This window comes from Homo sapiens, chromosome 1 (assembly GCF_000001405.40).
Source record: "Homo sapiens chromosome 1, GRCh38.p14 Primary Assembly".
Taxonomy (NCBI): Eukaryota; Metazoa; Chordata; class Mammalia; order Primates; family Hominidae; genus Homo; species Homo sapiens.
In genome coordinates, this window is record NC_000001.11 from 121,586,729 (window position 1) to 121,603,257 (window position 16,529).

The 16,529-nt window shown below is 36.5% G+C and overlaps 1 annotated feature.

The window, feature by feature from the left end:
- Positions 204 to 1,031: an enhancer, noted in NCBI's record as "H3K27ac-H3K4me1 hESC enhancer chr1:121328730-121329557 (GRCh37/hg19 assembly coordinates)". NCBI's record gives its function as "activates a minimal SCP1, AML or CMV promoter by ChIP-STARR-seq in naive H9 embryonic stem cells {active_cell/tissue: H9 hESC(naive)}" and the evidence as "EXISTENCE:reporter gene assay evidence [ECO:0000049][PMID:30033119]".

Genomic DNA, 16,529 nt, shown 5'->3' on the forward strand with positions numbered 1-16,529 from the left:
ACCAGGCAGGGACGTTTAAGTCAGCTGAAGCTGCGCCTACAACTGCCCCTTCCCAGAGTTGCTCTGTCCCAGGGAGTTGGGGGTTTTATCTATAAGACACTGACTGGGGCTGCTGCCTTTTTTTCAGAGAGGGAATGTAGAGGATGCAGTCTGGCCTCAGAGGCCTTGCTGAGCTGTGGTGGGCTCCACCCAGTTTGAACTTCCTGGTGGCTTTGTTTACACTGTGAGGGAAAACTGCCTACTCAAGCCTCAGCAATGGTGGATGCCCCTCCCCCCACCAAGCTGGAGTGTCCCAGGTCGAGCTCAGACTCTTGTGTTGTGCTGGCTGCGAGACTTTCAAGCCAGTGGATTTTAGCTTGCTGGGCTCCGTGGGGGTGGGACTCGCTGAGCCAGAGCACTTGGCTCCCTGGCTTCAGCTCCCTTGCCAGCGGAGTGAACAGTTCTGTCTCACTGGCTTTCCAGGTGCCACTGTGGTATGAGAAATAGACTCCTGCGGCTAGCTCGGTGTCTGCCCAAATGGCCACCCAGTTTTGTGCTGGAAACCCAGGGTCCCTGGTGGTGTAGGCACCGAAGGGAATCTCCTGGTCTGCGGGTTGTGAAGACTGTGGTAATAGCGCAGTATCTGGGCCAGAGTGCTCAGTACAGTCCTTAATGGCTTCCCTTGTCTAGGAGAGGGGGTTCCCCAACACCTTGCACTTCCCAGGTGAGGTGATGGCCCACCCTGCTTCACCTCGCCCTTCTTTGGCTACACCCACAGTCCAACCAGTCCCAGTGAGATGAACCTTGTAACTCAGTTGGAAATGCAGAAATCACCCACCTTCTGCATTGATCTTATTGGGAGCTGCAGACCAAAGCTCTTCCTATTTGGCCATATTGCCAGACTCCCGCTGTTCTGGGTAATTTTTTTTTTTTTTAATTTTGCCATGTTAGTTTAGGTTGATTCAGCACAAATGCTTGCAAAATATTTCAAAATTTATATTCTATGAAAATGTCTACTTCTACAAAAGAGAATCAATATTCCAAGTAGGGCATTTTAATGTTTCTAACAGTTAAGAGGAAAAAATATTAAGGGGAATATACAATATTTCACTATGTATTTTATTTGACTCTTATTTGAAATACTTATATGCTAAAATGATTAATGACTGGTAAATAAGTGTGTGTGTTCTAAAGCATGTGAGGCCAGCTTAAAGGAAGTGAGTAATTGTGTTTTTTGGTGACTGCATTAGAAAACAATTATTGGGAGATCAACTTCTGGAAAGACTGAGTAGATATGCTTTCCCCCACTCCTGGTAAGCACAGCTAACAACATTAGGTCTTATAAAACAAACAGTAAAAGATTCTGACTTACACAGCTACTGTGGCCCCACCTCCACCTCCAGCAGCAAAGCCTCCCCAAGTAGGGAGCTGGGAGCCAAGACTGTCACCTGAACTGGTGATAAGGAACCCCTTTCATTCCTATTAAGAAGCCTGAACTCCCACTCTGGATGTGGAGGAACCAGGTACCCCTCTTACCCTGGATTTTTAATGGAGGCAAAATGAGGAATTTAGATTTCTAACTCTACCTGACAGTAATAAGGTGAAGTGAGTATCTCTTTCCCCAGTAATGTGGTGTCAGAGGAGGCCTACTAAACCAATTTAGATAAGATCTAGAATCTCATAATATCTAAAATATTAGGTTTCAATAAAAAACATACCAAGAGTCATGAAATTCTCAACTTGATTAAGAAAAAAACCAATAGATGCCAAAACCAAAATGAATCAAATGTTAGAATTACCTAACAATTATTTAAAGCAGCCATCATCAAAATGCATCATGAGCAGCTAGGAACAAATGAAAAATAACCTCAGCGAATAGAAAGTGACAGAAAACAAATAGATGATGTAAGAGATAAAGAAAATAAAGGTTATCTATTCTGAATAACAGAGGTAATATAGACTGGAAAAAAAATGCAAAATGCACAGAGCCTCAGGCCCTGTGAGACTTGTAACAAATGATATACCATTTGTATTATTGGTATTGCAGAAGGAGAGGATAAAATGTTGGGCTGAAAAGATATTCAAAGTAATAACGATTGAAAATTTCCCCAACTTTAACAAGTGCCATTAACCTACACATTGAAGAAACTGAGCAAACCCCAAACAGAATAAACTGAAGGAAATCCAGGTCAAAACACACCATAATCAAAATTATGAAAACTAAAGATAGAGAACCTTAAAAGCAGAGATAGAGAAACAATACCTCACCTACTGGGGAAAACCAAATGATGACAGTGGATTTCACATCAGAAACTATGGAAGACAAAAGAAGTATCACATTTTCCAAATGCTCCTAGAAAAGTAGAGTAGGCAGTCCAAAGTTCTATATCTGATGAAAGAATCTCTGAATAATGAAATAGAAATCAGGATATCCTTAATAAAAACAGCTAAGAAACTGGCAGACCTACCTTAAAAAAATGGTTAAAGAAGGTTCTTCAAAGAGGGAGGGAATCATAAAAGAAGGATTTGGAGAACATCAGGAAGGGAGAAATAACACTTTCTTGAGGGAGTAGAAGCATCAAATATAATAGACAGTCTTCCCTTCTTAATTTTTCTCTAATTTTTAACTATTAAAGCAAAAGTTACAACACTGATCTGGTTCTCAATGTAATGTAAATGTAAAGGACATATTGAAGATACTTATAAAGGAGCAAGATAAAGGGACATAAAAGTAGGTAAGGTTTTTAAGCTTCACTCAAATTGGTAAAATTTTAATATCAATAAATTGTAACAAATTATATTTAAAGTTACATAATCAGTTATATAATACCCAGAACAACCACTAAGAAAGTATGGATAAATCAAAATGGAATTCTAAAAAAGTTCTAGTAACTCACAGGAATGAAGGGAAAACAGTAAGGAAAAACAGAAGAAATGGAAAATAAAAGTAATCGTGGACTTAGGTTCTAATAAATTAATAATTACCCTAAATCTAAATAGGCTTCTTATACCAATAAGACAGAGATTGGTAGAGTGGATGAAAAAGAACCCCACTATGTGCTGCCTACAAGAAACTCAATTCAAATGGAACAATATAGGTAGGTTGAATGTAAAAGGATGGAAATGTATTTGCCATATAAGCATTAATCAAAAGCAAGCAAGAGTGACTATATTGATATCTCATAAAATGGATGTCAGAGCAAAGAAAATTACCAGGAACAAAAAGGGACATTACATAATAAAAGGACCCACCAAGAAAATATAGACTAAACAATAGAGTTGCAAAATATGTGGTAGACCATCAGCAAAAACTGATAGAACTGAAATAATAAATAGACAAATTTACAATTATGTTTGGAGACATCAACAAGCCTTTTCCAACAACTGTTAGAACAACTAGACAGGAACAGAGCAAGTATATAAAACAACACCATCAATGAACATCATCTAATTTATATGTTTAGAATACTAAAAACAGCAGAATACACACATACATATAGAACATTTACCAAGATAGACTATATCCTGGACTTTAACACCAAAAAATATAAAAGAATTGAAATCATAGAGTATGTTTTGTGACAAAAATGGAATCAAACTATACATTAGTAATAGAGATAACAGAAATATATCCACACTTGGGTGTTAAAAGACACACCTGTAAATAACTCTTGAGTCAAGGCGGAAGTCTTAGGGGAAATTTTAAAAGTAAATGGGATAGAAAGAAAATGAAAATTTAACACATCAAAAATTTGGGCATGCAGCTAAAGCAATGCTGACATTTATAGTGTTAAATTCTTATGTTAAAAAAGAGAAAGAGCCTCAAATCCACCTAAGCTCCCACACCAAGAAACTAGAAAATGAAGAACAAAAATCCAAAGCAAGCTAAAGGAAGAGAATTATGAATATAACAGCAGAAGTCAATGAAATTAAATACACAAACAGCAGGGAAAATCAATGAAACAAAAAGATGGTTCTTTGGAAATAACGATAAAATTGGCAAAGCTCCAACAAAACTGACAGCAAAAAAAGACAGAGAGACAAATTACCAATACCAGAAATGAAACAGGCAATATAATTATAGACCCTATAGATATCAAAAGGATAATAAAGAAATTGTATGAACAACTCTACACACATAAGTTTGACAATTTAGATGAAATGGGCTATACAACTACCACATAAAGTACCAAGGATTATTCAGTATGAAAAAGATAATTGCATAGCTCTACAACTATTAAGGAAATTCAATTCATCATTTAAAAACTACTAAAAAAGAAATATCTGAGTCTGGATCGGTTCACAGGAGAATACCATTAAACATTTAAAAAAGAAATAACACAAGATCTGCACAATTTCTTCCAGAAAATGAAAGGGGGGAACATTTTGCAAATCACTTTATGAAACAATGTTACTTTTATACCCAAATAAAAGTACAAAATGAAGAAAAGTATAAACTAATATCTCTCATGAATACAGAGCAAAAATCCTTTATAAATTATTAGAAAATAGCATTCAGCAATATATAAACAGAGTTATACATAATGCCCATTGGGAGTTCATCCTAGAGATGTAAAATTGGTCCAATATTTCAAAACAATTATTGTAATTCACCATATTACCAATATAAAGGAGATAAATCACACTTTCATATCAACTGAGGCAAAATAAGCATTTGACAAAATTTGACACTCATTTATGATAAAAGCCCAGAAAATAAGGAAAAGAAACACCCTCAACTTGATGAAGAATATTTACAAAAATCTTATAGCTAATATCTTACCTAGTGGTGAAAGTAGAATGCTTTCCTCTTAAGATGAGAACAATGCAGTGGTGTTTTCCAGTCCCACTGCTAGTCAACATATTACAGGAAGTTCTAGGAAGCTCAATAAGGTAAGAAAAGGAAATAAAAGACATCAATTAGAAAGGAAAATATAAAGCTGTTCCTACTTGCAGATGCCACAATGGTTTACAAAAAAAATAAGGGACCTATAAAAATACTCCTAGAACTGATGAGTTCAGCGATGCCAAAAGTTCTAAGTAAAACATATAAAATTAATTGTATTCCTACATGAGAGCAATGGCCCTGTGGAAACTAAAATTAAGAATACAATAGTATGTATAATCTTTTTAAAAAACTGAAGTACTTAGGTAGAAATCTAACAAAATATATACAGGACTACTATGATGTAAACTACAAAACAGTGATGAAAGAAAGAAGGTTTAAATAAATAGACATCCAGTGTTCATGGATTGGAACACTCAACAGAGTAAAAATGTCATTTCTCCCCAAGGTAATACACATACTTTATACACTTATTATAAAAATCTTAGCAAGAATTTTTAAAGACAAAACTAAAGTTATTTTAAAATTTATTAGGAAAGGAAAAGGAAATAGAAGAGCTGAAACAATTTTTGAAAAATAGAAATGAAGTTGGAGAAATCACTTCATCTTATTTTAAGAGTTATTATGTAACTACCTTAATCAAGACTGTGTGATACTAGCTGAAGGATAGAAAAACAGATCAATGAAATAGAAAAAGAAACCAGAAATAGTTCCACGCAAGTATTGCCAAAGAGTCTTTTCAACAAATGTTGCTGGAAAAATTGTATATCCAGAAAGATGACCCTCACCTTAAATCTCACACATTAGCCAAAAATCATCTCAAACTGGATTATAGATTTAATGATAAAGCAAACTGTAAACCTGTTCCACCCATGTTTATAGAAGCACTTCTCACAAAGCCAAGAGGTGGAAGCAATGCAAATGTCCAAATGTCATTGACAGATGAGTGGATAAGCAAAATGTGGTATATTCATACAATGGAACATTATTCAGTCTTTAAAGTGGAGGGAATCCTGTCACATGCTACAACATGGATGAACCTGAAGGACACTATGCTTGGTGAAATAAGCCAGTCACAAAAAAATCTGTATGGTTCCACTTATATGAGGTATCTAAAGTCATCAAATTTATAGAAATATAAAGTAGAATAATGGTTACTAGGGGATGGGGGAGGGAAGAAGAGTAATTGGTTAATGGGTATAGAGTTTAAGTTCTGCAAGAAAATGTTCTGGAGATCTGTTTCACAACAATGCAAATATACTTAACATTACTAAACAGTACACTTAAAAATAGTTCATCTTAACCATGGCAAGTTTTATGGTTTTTAAAATTATAATTTAAAAAGTGGTAGGATAAAAAATCCTATAAATCTTTCAGAAGAAAAATGCAATCTTTAAGATCTAGGGCTTGATAAAGAGTGCTTGACATCAAAAAAAGCCATAAAAATAAAATTGGTAAATTACACTTCATCAAAATTTAAAACTTTTACTCTGAAGGACCTTGTTAAGAGGATGAAAAGACAATCTACACACTGGGAGAAAATATTTGGGAACCGTATATCTTATAGATGATTCATTTAGAATATTTAAAGAACTCTCAAAACTCAACAATAACAACAAAACAAAAATTCTAGCTAGAAAATGAGCAAGAGACATGAACAGGCCAAAGAGGATATATAGATGGCAAATAAGCACATGCAAAGATGTTCATCACTAGCGATTAAAAACAGCAAATGAAGACCACAATCAGTATCACTACATACATATGAGAATAGCTTAAAACTACTGACAATATCAAATGTTGGTAAGTATACACAGGAATTATCTCTCCCATACATTGAGGAAATGCACAGACACTCTGAAAAGCAGTGCAGCAGTTTCTTTTTCTTTTTTTTTTCTTAGTTTATTTTTGAGGCAGAGTCTTGCTTTTTCACCCAGGCTGAAGTGCAGTGGTGCGATCTCGGCTCATGGCAACCTCTGCCTCCCTGCTTAATTTATTTTTGAGGCAGAGTCTTGCTTTTTCACCCAGGCTGAAGTGTAGTGGTGCGATCTCGGCTCATGGCAACCTCTGCCTCCCTGCTTAATTTATTTTTGAGGCAGAGTCTTGCTTTTTCACCCAGGCTGAAGTGTAGTGGTGCGATCTCGGCTCATTGCAACCTCTGCCTCCCTGGTTCAAGTGATTCTGCTACCTCGGCCTCCCTAGTAGCGGGGATTACAGGCACCTGCCACCAGGCCCGACTAATTTTTGTATTTTTAGTGGAGATGGAGTTCACCATGTTGGCCAGGCTGGTCTCGAACTCCTGCTCTCAGGTGATCCACCCGCCTCACCCTCCCAAAGTGCTGAGATTACAGGCTTAAGCCACTGCGCCCAGCCGCAGCAGTTTCTTAAAGGGATAAACATATATGGCCAATAAATCTCATTCCTGGGCATTTATCTCAGAGGAATGAAAACTTAGGTCCACACAAAGAATTGTACATGATTGTTCATAACGGCATTAGTTACAAAAGCTTAAAGCTATAAGTAAACAAAATATCTTAAAGTAGGAGTATATTTAAACAAACTGTGGTACATCCATATCGTGGAATATTGCTCCGTAATAAAGAGGAATGAATTGTTGATACATGCAACAATTTGGATGGATTTCAAGGACGTTATGCTAAGTGAAAAAAAAGCCCATGTCAAAAGATCTGAGTCCATTGATGGGATGTCCTTGAAAGGACAAAATTACTGAGATGGAAAACAAATTAGTGGTTACCATGGGTTAGGAATGCTGAGGGGGGGGGCAGGGAAGTGGGAGTAGATGTGACTATAAAGAGGTTATAATAGGGAGATCTTTGTGGGAATGGGTTAGTTCTGTATCTTGGTGGTTGTGTGAATCTGCAAATGTGATAAAAGACATAGAACTAATACATATACATTATAACCAATGTCAATTTCCTTCTTTTGATATTGTACTATAATTACTTAAGATATAAGCATGGGGAGAAACTGAATTAGGTGAAAATGAGACCTCTCTGTAATATCTTTGCAACTTTCTATGAATCTGTAATTTTCTCAAAACAAAATATTTTAAAATGTTTGAATCAATTCATTAGTCTAAGCATTAAATGATTAGTATTAGAAAAGAATATGGACGTTTTTTACTTTTTTATTATTGGTTTAGGTAGAAAATCAACCTAAACTATCAGCTCAAACTATTGGCATAAAAGCAAAGTACAGAGTCTGTTACAAGCCCATGTGCTCAGATGTCTTACCAGATAGTCCTTGCAAGAAAAAAAGAGAAAAGTCTTTCTTATTTCTATTTAAATGACAATACAGGATTTAAAATGTCCTTTCATCATTGAATGATTGACAATATTTATGTATAAACTTGATAAAGATCATTTGAGAAGAATCTTTGTTTTGTGTTACTGTAGCTACATAAGAGAAAGAAATTATATATATTAAATCTCTCATTGTATCTAGCCATAGTTACAATAGCCGCTTTATAGTGGGAAAAAAAGGTTATTTTATTTTGGAAATAAGTACATTTTCAAGTATGAATCAAAACCTTTCACACTTACTAAAAAATATCTGTACACACAAAACACCAGAGTAAATATTCATATTCATGTCACCTCCCTATAATAACTACATTTACTCATATATTTCTTTCTGTGAATAGGTGTTCTGGATCCATTATAGTAGCTAAAATGTGGTGCAGGAGATAAGAGTGTTTAATCAAGGTTCACAATGATTTGCAGTGGCAGGAGACAGTTTGTGGCTAGAGATAACATTCAGCAGCACATGTTTATGAGTGAGACAGACACCTGTCTGATAGTACCATGAGCCAGCCTGTGTGCTTTGCTGAGGCATGTAGTGCTGAAAGCATTAAAATTCTGTGCAGTGAAAAAATGTTATGCTTCTAAAACTTTTGAGATTCTGAAAACAATTATCAAATGATACTCTAATTATGCTTTATGTTCTGAAGTCTCTTGTATTGGGGCAAACAAAAACCTTTAGCCTAAATATAAAACATGGTAATTTAAAACGTAAACGTAAGTATGTTTATCTAAAGAGAAACCAAAGTTTGTTTTTAATTTTTAGTTATTTTTTTTATTGTGGCAGAAACACTGAACTTGAGATTTACCTTCTTAACAAATGTATAGGCACAATGTTTTACACCAGATCTCTCTCTCTCTTTTTTTTTTTTTTTTTTTTTTGAGACAGGGTCTTGCTCTGTTGCCCAGGCTGGAGTGCAGTGGAGTGAACACAACTCACTGCAGGCTCAATCTCCAGGGCTCAAGCAATCCTCCCACTTCAGTCTCCTGAGTAGTTTCGACCACAGGTGCATGCCACCACATGTGGCTAATTTTTACAATATTTTGTAGAGACAGAGTCTCACCTTATTTGTCTTACATAAGTAAAACTTTATGACCTTTGGTCAACAACCTCCCATTTACCCTTCCCCCAGCTCCTAGCGACCACCATTTTACTTTCTATGAGATTGACTTAACGTTAGATAGCTCAGATAAGTGGCATCATACAGCATTTGTTCTGGCTAACTCACTTAGCACAATATCCTTCAGGTTTATCCATGTTCTTACATATGGTAGAATTTTTTTAAGAGCTAAGTAATATTTCATTGTATGTATATATCACATTTTCTTTATCCATTCATCTATTGAGGGACATTTAGATTGTTTTGAAATCTTGGGTGTTGCTAATAATGCTGCAGTGAACATAAGAATGCAGAAATTCTTTTGAGTTCCTGATTTTAATTCTATTGGATATATACCCAGAAGTGGGATTGCTGGATCATATAGTTGTTCTATTTTTACTTTTGTGAGGAACCTCCATATTGCTTTCCATAGTGGCTGCATCAACTATTCCCATCAACAGTGTATAAGAGTTCAAACTTTTCCATATCCTCAACAGCACTTGTTTTTTAAGAGTCATCCTAAAGGTGTGAGGTGATTGACATTTCTCTGATGACTAGTGATGTTGAATTTTTTTTTTTTTTTTGAGACAGGGTCTCACTGTGCCACCCAGCTGGAGTATAGTGGTGCAAACACAGCTTGCTGCAGCCTCAATCTCCTGGACTCGAGTGATCCTTCTGCCTCAGCCTCCTGGGTAACTGGGACTACAGGCATGTACCACCATGCTTGGCTAATTTTTAAGTGTTTTGTGGAGATAGGGTCTCACTATGTTGCCCAGACTGGTCTCGAACTCGTGGGCTCAAGTGATCCTCTCACCTCAGCTTTCCAAAGTGTTGGATTATAGGTGTGAGCCACTGAGCCCAGTTTGAATGCTTTTTTATATATTTTTTGGCCATTTGTATGTCATCTTTGGAGAAATGTCTATTCAAATCCTTTGCCCATTAAAAATTATTTTTTGATAATGAGTTGTAGAAGTTCCTTATATATTTGGAGATTAACCCATTATTGGATATGTGGTTTGCAAATATTTTAACCCATTCTATAGGCTGCCTTTTCACTCTGTTGATTGGTTCTTTTGCTATACAGAAGCTATTTAGTCTAAAGGAGTTTCACTTGTTCATTTTTGTTGTTATTGCCTGGGCTTTTGTCATATACAAGAAATCATTGTCAAGACCGACATCCAGAAGCTTTCCCCCTATGTGTACTAAGAGTTTTACAGTCTGGGGTCTTACATTTAAGTCTTTATTTTGAGGTGATTTTTATATATGGTGTGAGAGGAGAGTCCAATTTATTCTTCTGCATGTGAGTATCTGGTTTTCCTAACACTATTTGTGGAAGAGACATTTTTTACCCCATTGTGTATTCTTGGCACACTTTTTGAAGATTGGTTGGTTGTATATGCATGATTTTATTTCTGGGCTGTCTATTCTGTTCCATTGATCTATATTTCTGTTTTAACTTCAGTAAAGAAATATAATTAATTCAGCTGGAATTTTGATGGGGATTGCATTGAATCTGTTGAACACTTTGGGTAGTACGGACAAGTTAACACTATTAATTCTTCCAACTCAAGAGCACTGGATAACTTCATTTTTTGTGTGTGTCCCATTTATTTTATTACCGTTTATAGTATGTAGTTTAATTTCATGGTGCTTAGAAAAGATACTTGGTTTAATTTCAACCTTCTTAAATTTGTTAAAACTTGTTTTGTGACATATCCTGTAGAATATTCCCTGTTTACTTGAGAAGAATGCATATTCTGCTACCAGTGAGAGGAATGTTTGTTACACATCTGTGAGGTAAATTTGGCCTGTAGCATTGTTCAAGTCTGTTGTTTTCTTATCTTTGAGTTCACTAATTCTTTCCTTTCTTTTTTTTTTTTTTTTGAAGAAGTATTGAATTTTATTGAAAGCCTTTTCTGCATCTATTGGGATTAAAATGTGGTTTCTGTCTTTAGTTATCTCTATGTGATGAATCACATTTATTGATTTGGGTATGTTGAACCAACCTTGCATCCTAGGGATAAAGCTGAGTTGGTTGTGGTGTATCAGCTTTATTATGTGCTGCTGGATTTGGTTCACCAACATTTTGTGGAGGATTTTTGCATCAATACTCATCAAGAACACATATTCATTTAATGTCATAAATTTCCCTCTAAGGAATGTTTTAGTGGAATCCTATAAATTTTAATACATTATGTTTTCTTATTATCATTTAAATGAAAATATTTTTCCATTTTTTTATTATACTTTTAGGTTACATATGCACAATGTACATGTTAGTTACATATGTATACATGTGCCATGTTGGTGTGCTGTACCCATTAACTTGTCATTTAACAATAGGTATATCTCCTAATGCTATCCCTCCACCCTCCCACCAACCCACAACAGGCCCCACTGTGTGATGTTCCCCTTCCTTTTTCCATCTGTTCTCATTGTTGAATTCCCACCTATGAATGAGAACAAGTGATGTTTGGTTTTCTGTCCTTGTGATAGTTTGCTGAGAATGACGGTTTCCAGCTTCATCCACGTCCCTACAAAGACATGAACTCATCATTTTTTATTGCTGCGTAGTATCCATGGTGTATATGTGCCACATATTCTTAATCCAGTCTATCATTGTTGGACATTTGGCTTGGTTCCAAGTCTTTGCTATTGTGAATAGTGCCACAATAAACATACGTGTGCATGTGTCTTTATAGCAGCATGATTTATAACCTTTTGGGTACATACCTGGTAATGAGATTGCCAGGTCAAATGGTATTTCTAGTTCTAGATCCCTGAGGAATCGCCACACTGACTGCCACAATGGTTGAACTAGTTTGCAGTCCCACCAACAGTGTAAAATGTTCCTATTTCTCCACATCCTCTCCAGCACCTGTTGTTTCCTGACTTTTTAATGATTGCCATTCTAACTGGTGTGAGATGGTATCTCATTGTGGTTTTGATTTGCATTTCTCTGATGGCCAGTGATGATGAGCATTTTTTCATGTGTCTTTTGGCTGCATAAATGTCTTCTTTCAAGAAGTCTCTGTTCATATCCTCCACCCACTTTTTGATGGGATTTTTTTGTTTTTTTCTTGTAAATTTGTTTGAGTTCTTTTTAGATTCTGGATATTAGCCCTTTGTCAGATGAGTAGATTGCAAACATTTTCTCCCATTCTGTGGGTTGCCTGTTCACTCTGATGATAGTTTCTTTTGCTGTGCAGAAGCTCTTTAGTTTAATTAGATCCCATTTGTCAATTTTGGCTTTTGTGGCCATTGCTTTTGGTGTTTTAGACATGAATTCCTTGCCATGCCTATCTCCTGAATGGTATTGCCTAGGTATTCTTCTAGGGTTTTTATGGTTTTAGGTCTAACATCTAAGTCTTTAATCCATCTTGAATTAAGTTTTGTATAAGGCATAAGGAAGGGATCCAGTTTCAGCTTTCTACATATGGCTAGCCAGTTTTCCCAGCACCATTTACTAAATAGGGAATCCTTTCCCCATTTCTTGTTTTTCTCAGGTTTGTCAAAGATCAGATGGTTGTAGATATGCGGCATTATTTCTGAGGGCTCTGTTCTGTTCCATTGGTCTATATCTCTGTTTTGGTACCAGTACCATGCTGTTTTGGTTACTGCAGCCTTGTAGTATAGTTTGAAGTCAGGTAGGGTGATGCATCCAGCTTTGTTCTTTTGACTTAGGATTGACTTGGCAATGCGGACTCTTTTTTGGTTCCATATGAACTTTAAAGTAGTTTTTTCCAATTCTGTAAAGAAAGTCATTGGTAACTTGATGGGGATGGCATTGAATCTATAAATTACCTTGGGCAGTATGGCCATTTTCACGATATTGATTCTTCCTACCCATGAGCATGGAATTTTCTTCCATTTGTTTGTATCCTCTTTTATTTCCTTGAGCAGTGGTTTGTAGTTCTCCTTCAAGAGGTCCTTCATGTCCCTTGTAAGTTGGATTCCTATGTATTTTATTCTCTTTGAAGCAATTGTGAATGGGAGTTTACTCATGATTTGGCTCTCTGTTTGTCTGTTATTGGTGTATAAGAATGCTTGTGATTTTTGTACCTTGATTTTGTATCCTGAGACTTTGCTGAAGTTGCTTATCAGCTTAAGGAGATGTTGGGCTGAGACGATGGGGTTTTCTAAATATACAATCATTTCATCTGCAAACAGGGACAATTTGACTTCCTCTTTTCCTAATTGAATACCCTTTATTTCCTTCTCCTGCCTGATTTCCCCGGCCAGAACTTCCAACACTATGTTGAATAGGAGTGGTGACAGAGGGCATCCCTGTCTTGTGCCAGTTTTCAAAGGGAATGCTTCCAGTGTTTGCCCATTTAGTATGATATTGGCTGTGGGTTTGTCATAGATAGCTCTTATTATTTTGAAATACGTCCCATCAATACCTAATTTATTGAGAGTTTTTAGCATGAAGAGTTGTTGAATTTTGTCAAAGGCCTTTTCTGCATCTATTCAGATAATCATACGGTTTTTGTCATTGGTTCTGTTTATATGCTGGATTATGTTTATTGATTTTCATATGTTGAACCAGCCTTGCATCCCAGGGATGAAGCCCACTTGATCATGGTGGATAAGCTTTTTGATGTGCTGCCAGATTCAGTTTGCCAGTGTTTTATTGAGGATTTTTGCATTGATGTTCATCAGGGTATTGGTCTAAAATTCTCTTTTTTTGTTGTGCCTCTGCCAGGCTTTGGTATCAGGATGATGCTGGCCTCATGAAATCAGTTAGGGAGGATTCCCTCTTTTTCTATTGATTGGAATAGTTTCAGAAGGAATGGTACCAGCTCCTCCTTGTAGCTCTGGTAGAATTCAGCTGTGAATCCGTCTTGTCCTGGACTTTTTTTGGTTGGTAAGCCATTAAATATTGCTTCAATTGCAGAGCCTGTTATTGGTCTATTCAGAGATTCAACTTCTTCCTGGTTTAGTCTTGGGAGGGTATATGTGTCAAGGAATTTATCCATTTCTTCTACGTTTTCTAGTTTATTTACATAGAGGTGTTTATAGTATTCTCTGATGGTAGTTTGTATTTCTGTGGGATCAGTGGTGATATCCCCTTTACCATTTTTTATTGCTTCTCTTTGATTCATCTCTTTTTTCTTCTTTATTAGTCTTGCTAGTGGTCTATCAATTTTGTTGATCTTTTCAAAAAACCACCTCCTGGATTCATTGATTTTTTGAAGGGTTTTTTGTCTCTCCCTCAGTTCTGCTCTGATCTTAGTTATTTCTTGCCTTCTGCTAGCTTTTGAATGTGTTTGCTCTTGCTTTTCTAGTTCTTTTAATTGTGATGTTAGGGTGTCAGTTTTAGATTTTGCTGCTTTCTCTTGTGGGCATGTAGTGTTATAAATTTCCCTCTACACACTGCTTTGAATGTGTCCCAGAGATTCTTGTATGTTGTGTATTTGTTCTCATTGGTTTCAAAGAACATCTTTATTTCTGCCTTCATTTCATTATGTACCCAGTAATCATTCAGGAGCAGGTTGTTCAGTTTCCATGTAGTTGAGTGGTTTTGAGTGAGTTTCTTAATCCTGAGTTTTAGTTTAATTACACTGTGGTCTGGGAGACAGTTTGGTATAATTTCTGTTCTTTTACATTTGTTGAGGAGTCCTTTACTTCCAACTATGTGGTCAATTTTGGAATAAGTGTGGTGTGGTACTGAAAGGAATGTATATTCTGTTGATTTGGGGTGGAGAGTTCTGTAGATGTCTATTAGGTTGGCTTGGTGCAGAGGTGAGTTCAATTCTTGGATATCCTTGTTAACTTTCTGTCTCATTGATCTGTCTAATGTTGACAGTGGGGTGTTAAAGTCTCCCATTATTATTGTGTGGGAGCCTAAGTCTCTTTCTAGGTCTCTAAGGACTTGCTTTATGAATCTGGCTGCTCCTGTATTGGGTGCATATATATTTAGGATAGTTAGCTCTTCTTGTTGAATTGATCCCTTTACCATTCTGTAATGGCCTGCTTTGTCTCTTTTGATCTTTGCTGGTTTAAAGTCTTTTTTTTATCACAGACTAGGTTTGCAACCCCTGCTTCTTTTTGTTTTCCATTTCCTTGGTAGATCTTCCTCCATCCCTTTATTTTGAGCCTATGTGTGTCTCTGCAGATGAGATGTGTTTCCTGAATACAGCACACTGATGGGTCTTGACTCTTTATCGAATTTGCCATTCTGTGTCTTTTAATTGGAGCATTTAGCCCATTTACATCGAAGGTTAATATTGTTATGTGTGAATTTGATCCTGTCATTATGATGTTAGCTGGTTATTTTGCTCGTTAGTTGATGCTGTTTCTTCCTAGCCTCGATGGTCTTTATGATTTGGCATGTTTTTGCAGTGGCTGGTCCCAGTTGTTCTTTTCCAAGTTTAGTGCTTCCCTCAGGAGCTCTTGTAGGGCAGGCCTGTTGGTGACAAAATCTCTCAGCATTTGCTTGTCTGTAAAGGATTTTATTTCTCCTTCACTTATGAAGTTAGTTTGGCTGGATATGAAATTCTGGGTTGAAAATTCTTTTCTTTAAGAATGTTGAATATTGGCCCCCACTCTCTTCTGGCTTGTAGAGTTTCTGCTGAGAGATCAGATGTTAGTCTGATGGGCTTCCCTTTGTGGGTAACCAGAGCTTTCTCTCTGGCTTCCCTTAACATTTTTTCCTTCATTTCAACTTTGGTGAATCTGACAATTATGTGTCTTGGAGTTGCTCTTCTCGAGGAGTATCTTTGTGGCATTCTCTGTATTTCCTGAATTTGAATGTTGGCCTGCCTTGCTAGATTGGGGAAGTTCTCCTGGATAATAACCTGCAGAGTGTTTTCCAAGTTGGTTCCATTCTCCCTGTCACTTTCAGGTACACCAATCAGATGTAGATTTGGTGTTTTCACATAGTCCCATATTTCTTGGAGGCTTTGTTTGTTTCTTTTTATTCTTTTTTCTCTAAACTTCTCTTCTCACTTTATTTCATTCATTTGGTTTTCCATCACTGATACCCTTTCTTCCAGTTGATCGAATGGGCTACTGAGGCTTGTGCATTCATCACATAGTTCTCGTGCCTTTGTTTTCAGCTCCATCAGGTCCTTTAAGGACTTCTAGTTAGGCATTCATCTAATTTTTTTTTCAAGCTTTTTAAGTTCTTTGTCATGGGTTCAAACTTCCTCCTTTAGCTTGGGGTAGTTTGATTGTCTGAAACCTTCTCTCAACTCATCAAAGTCATTCTCTGTCCAGCTTTGTTTCATTGCTAGTGAGGAGCTTCATTCCTTTGGAGGAGGAGAGGCACTCCAATTATTA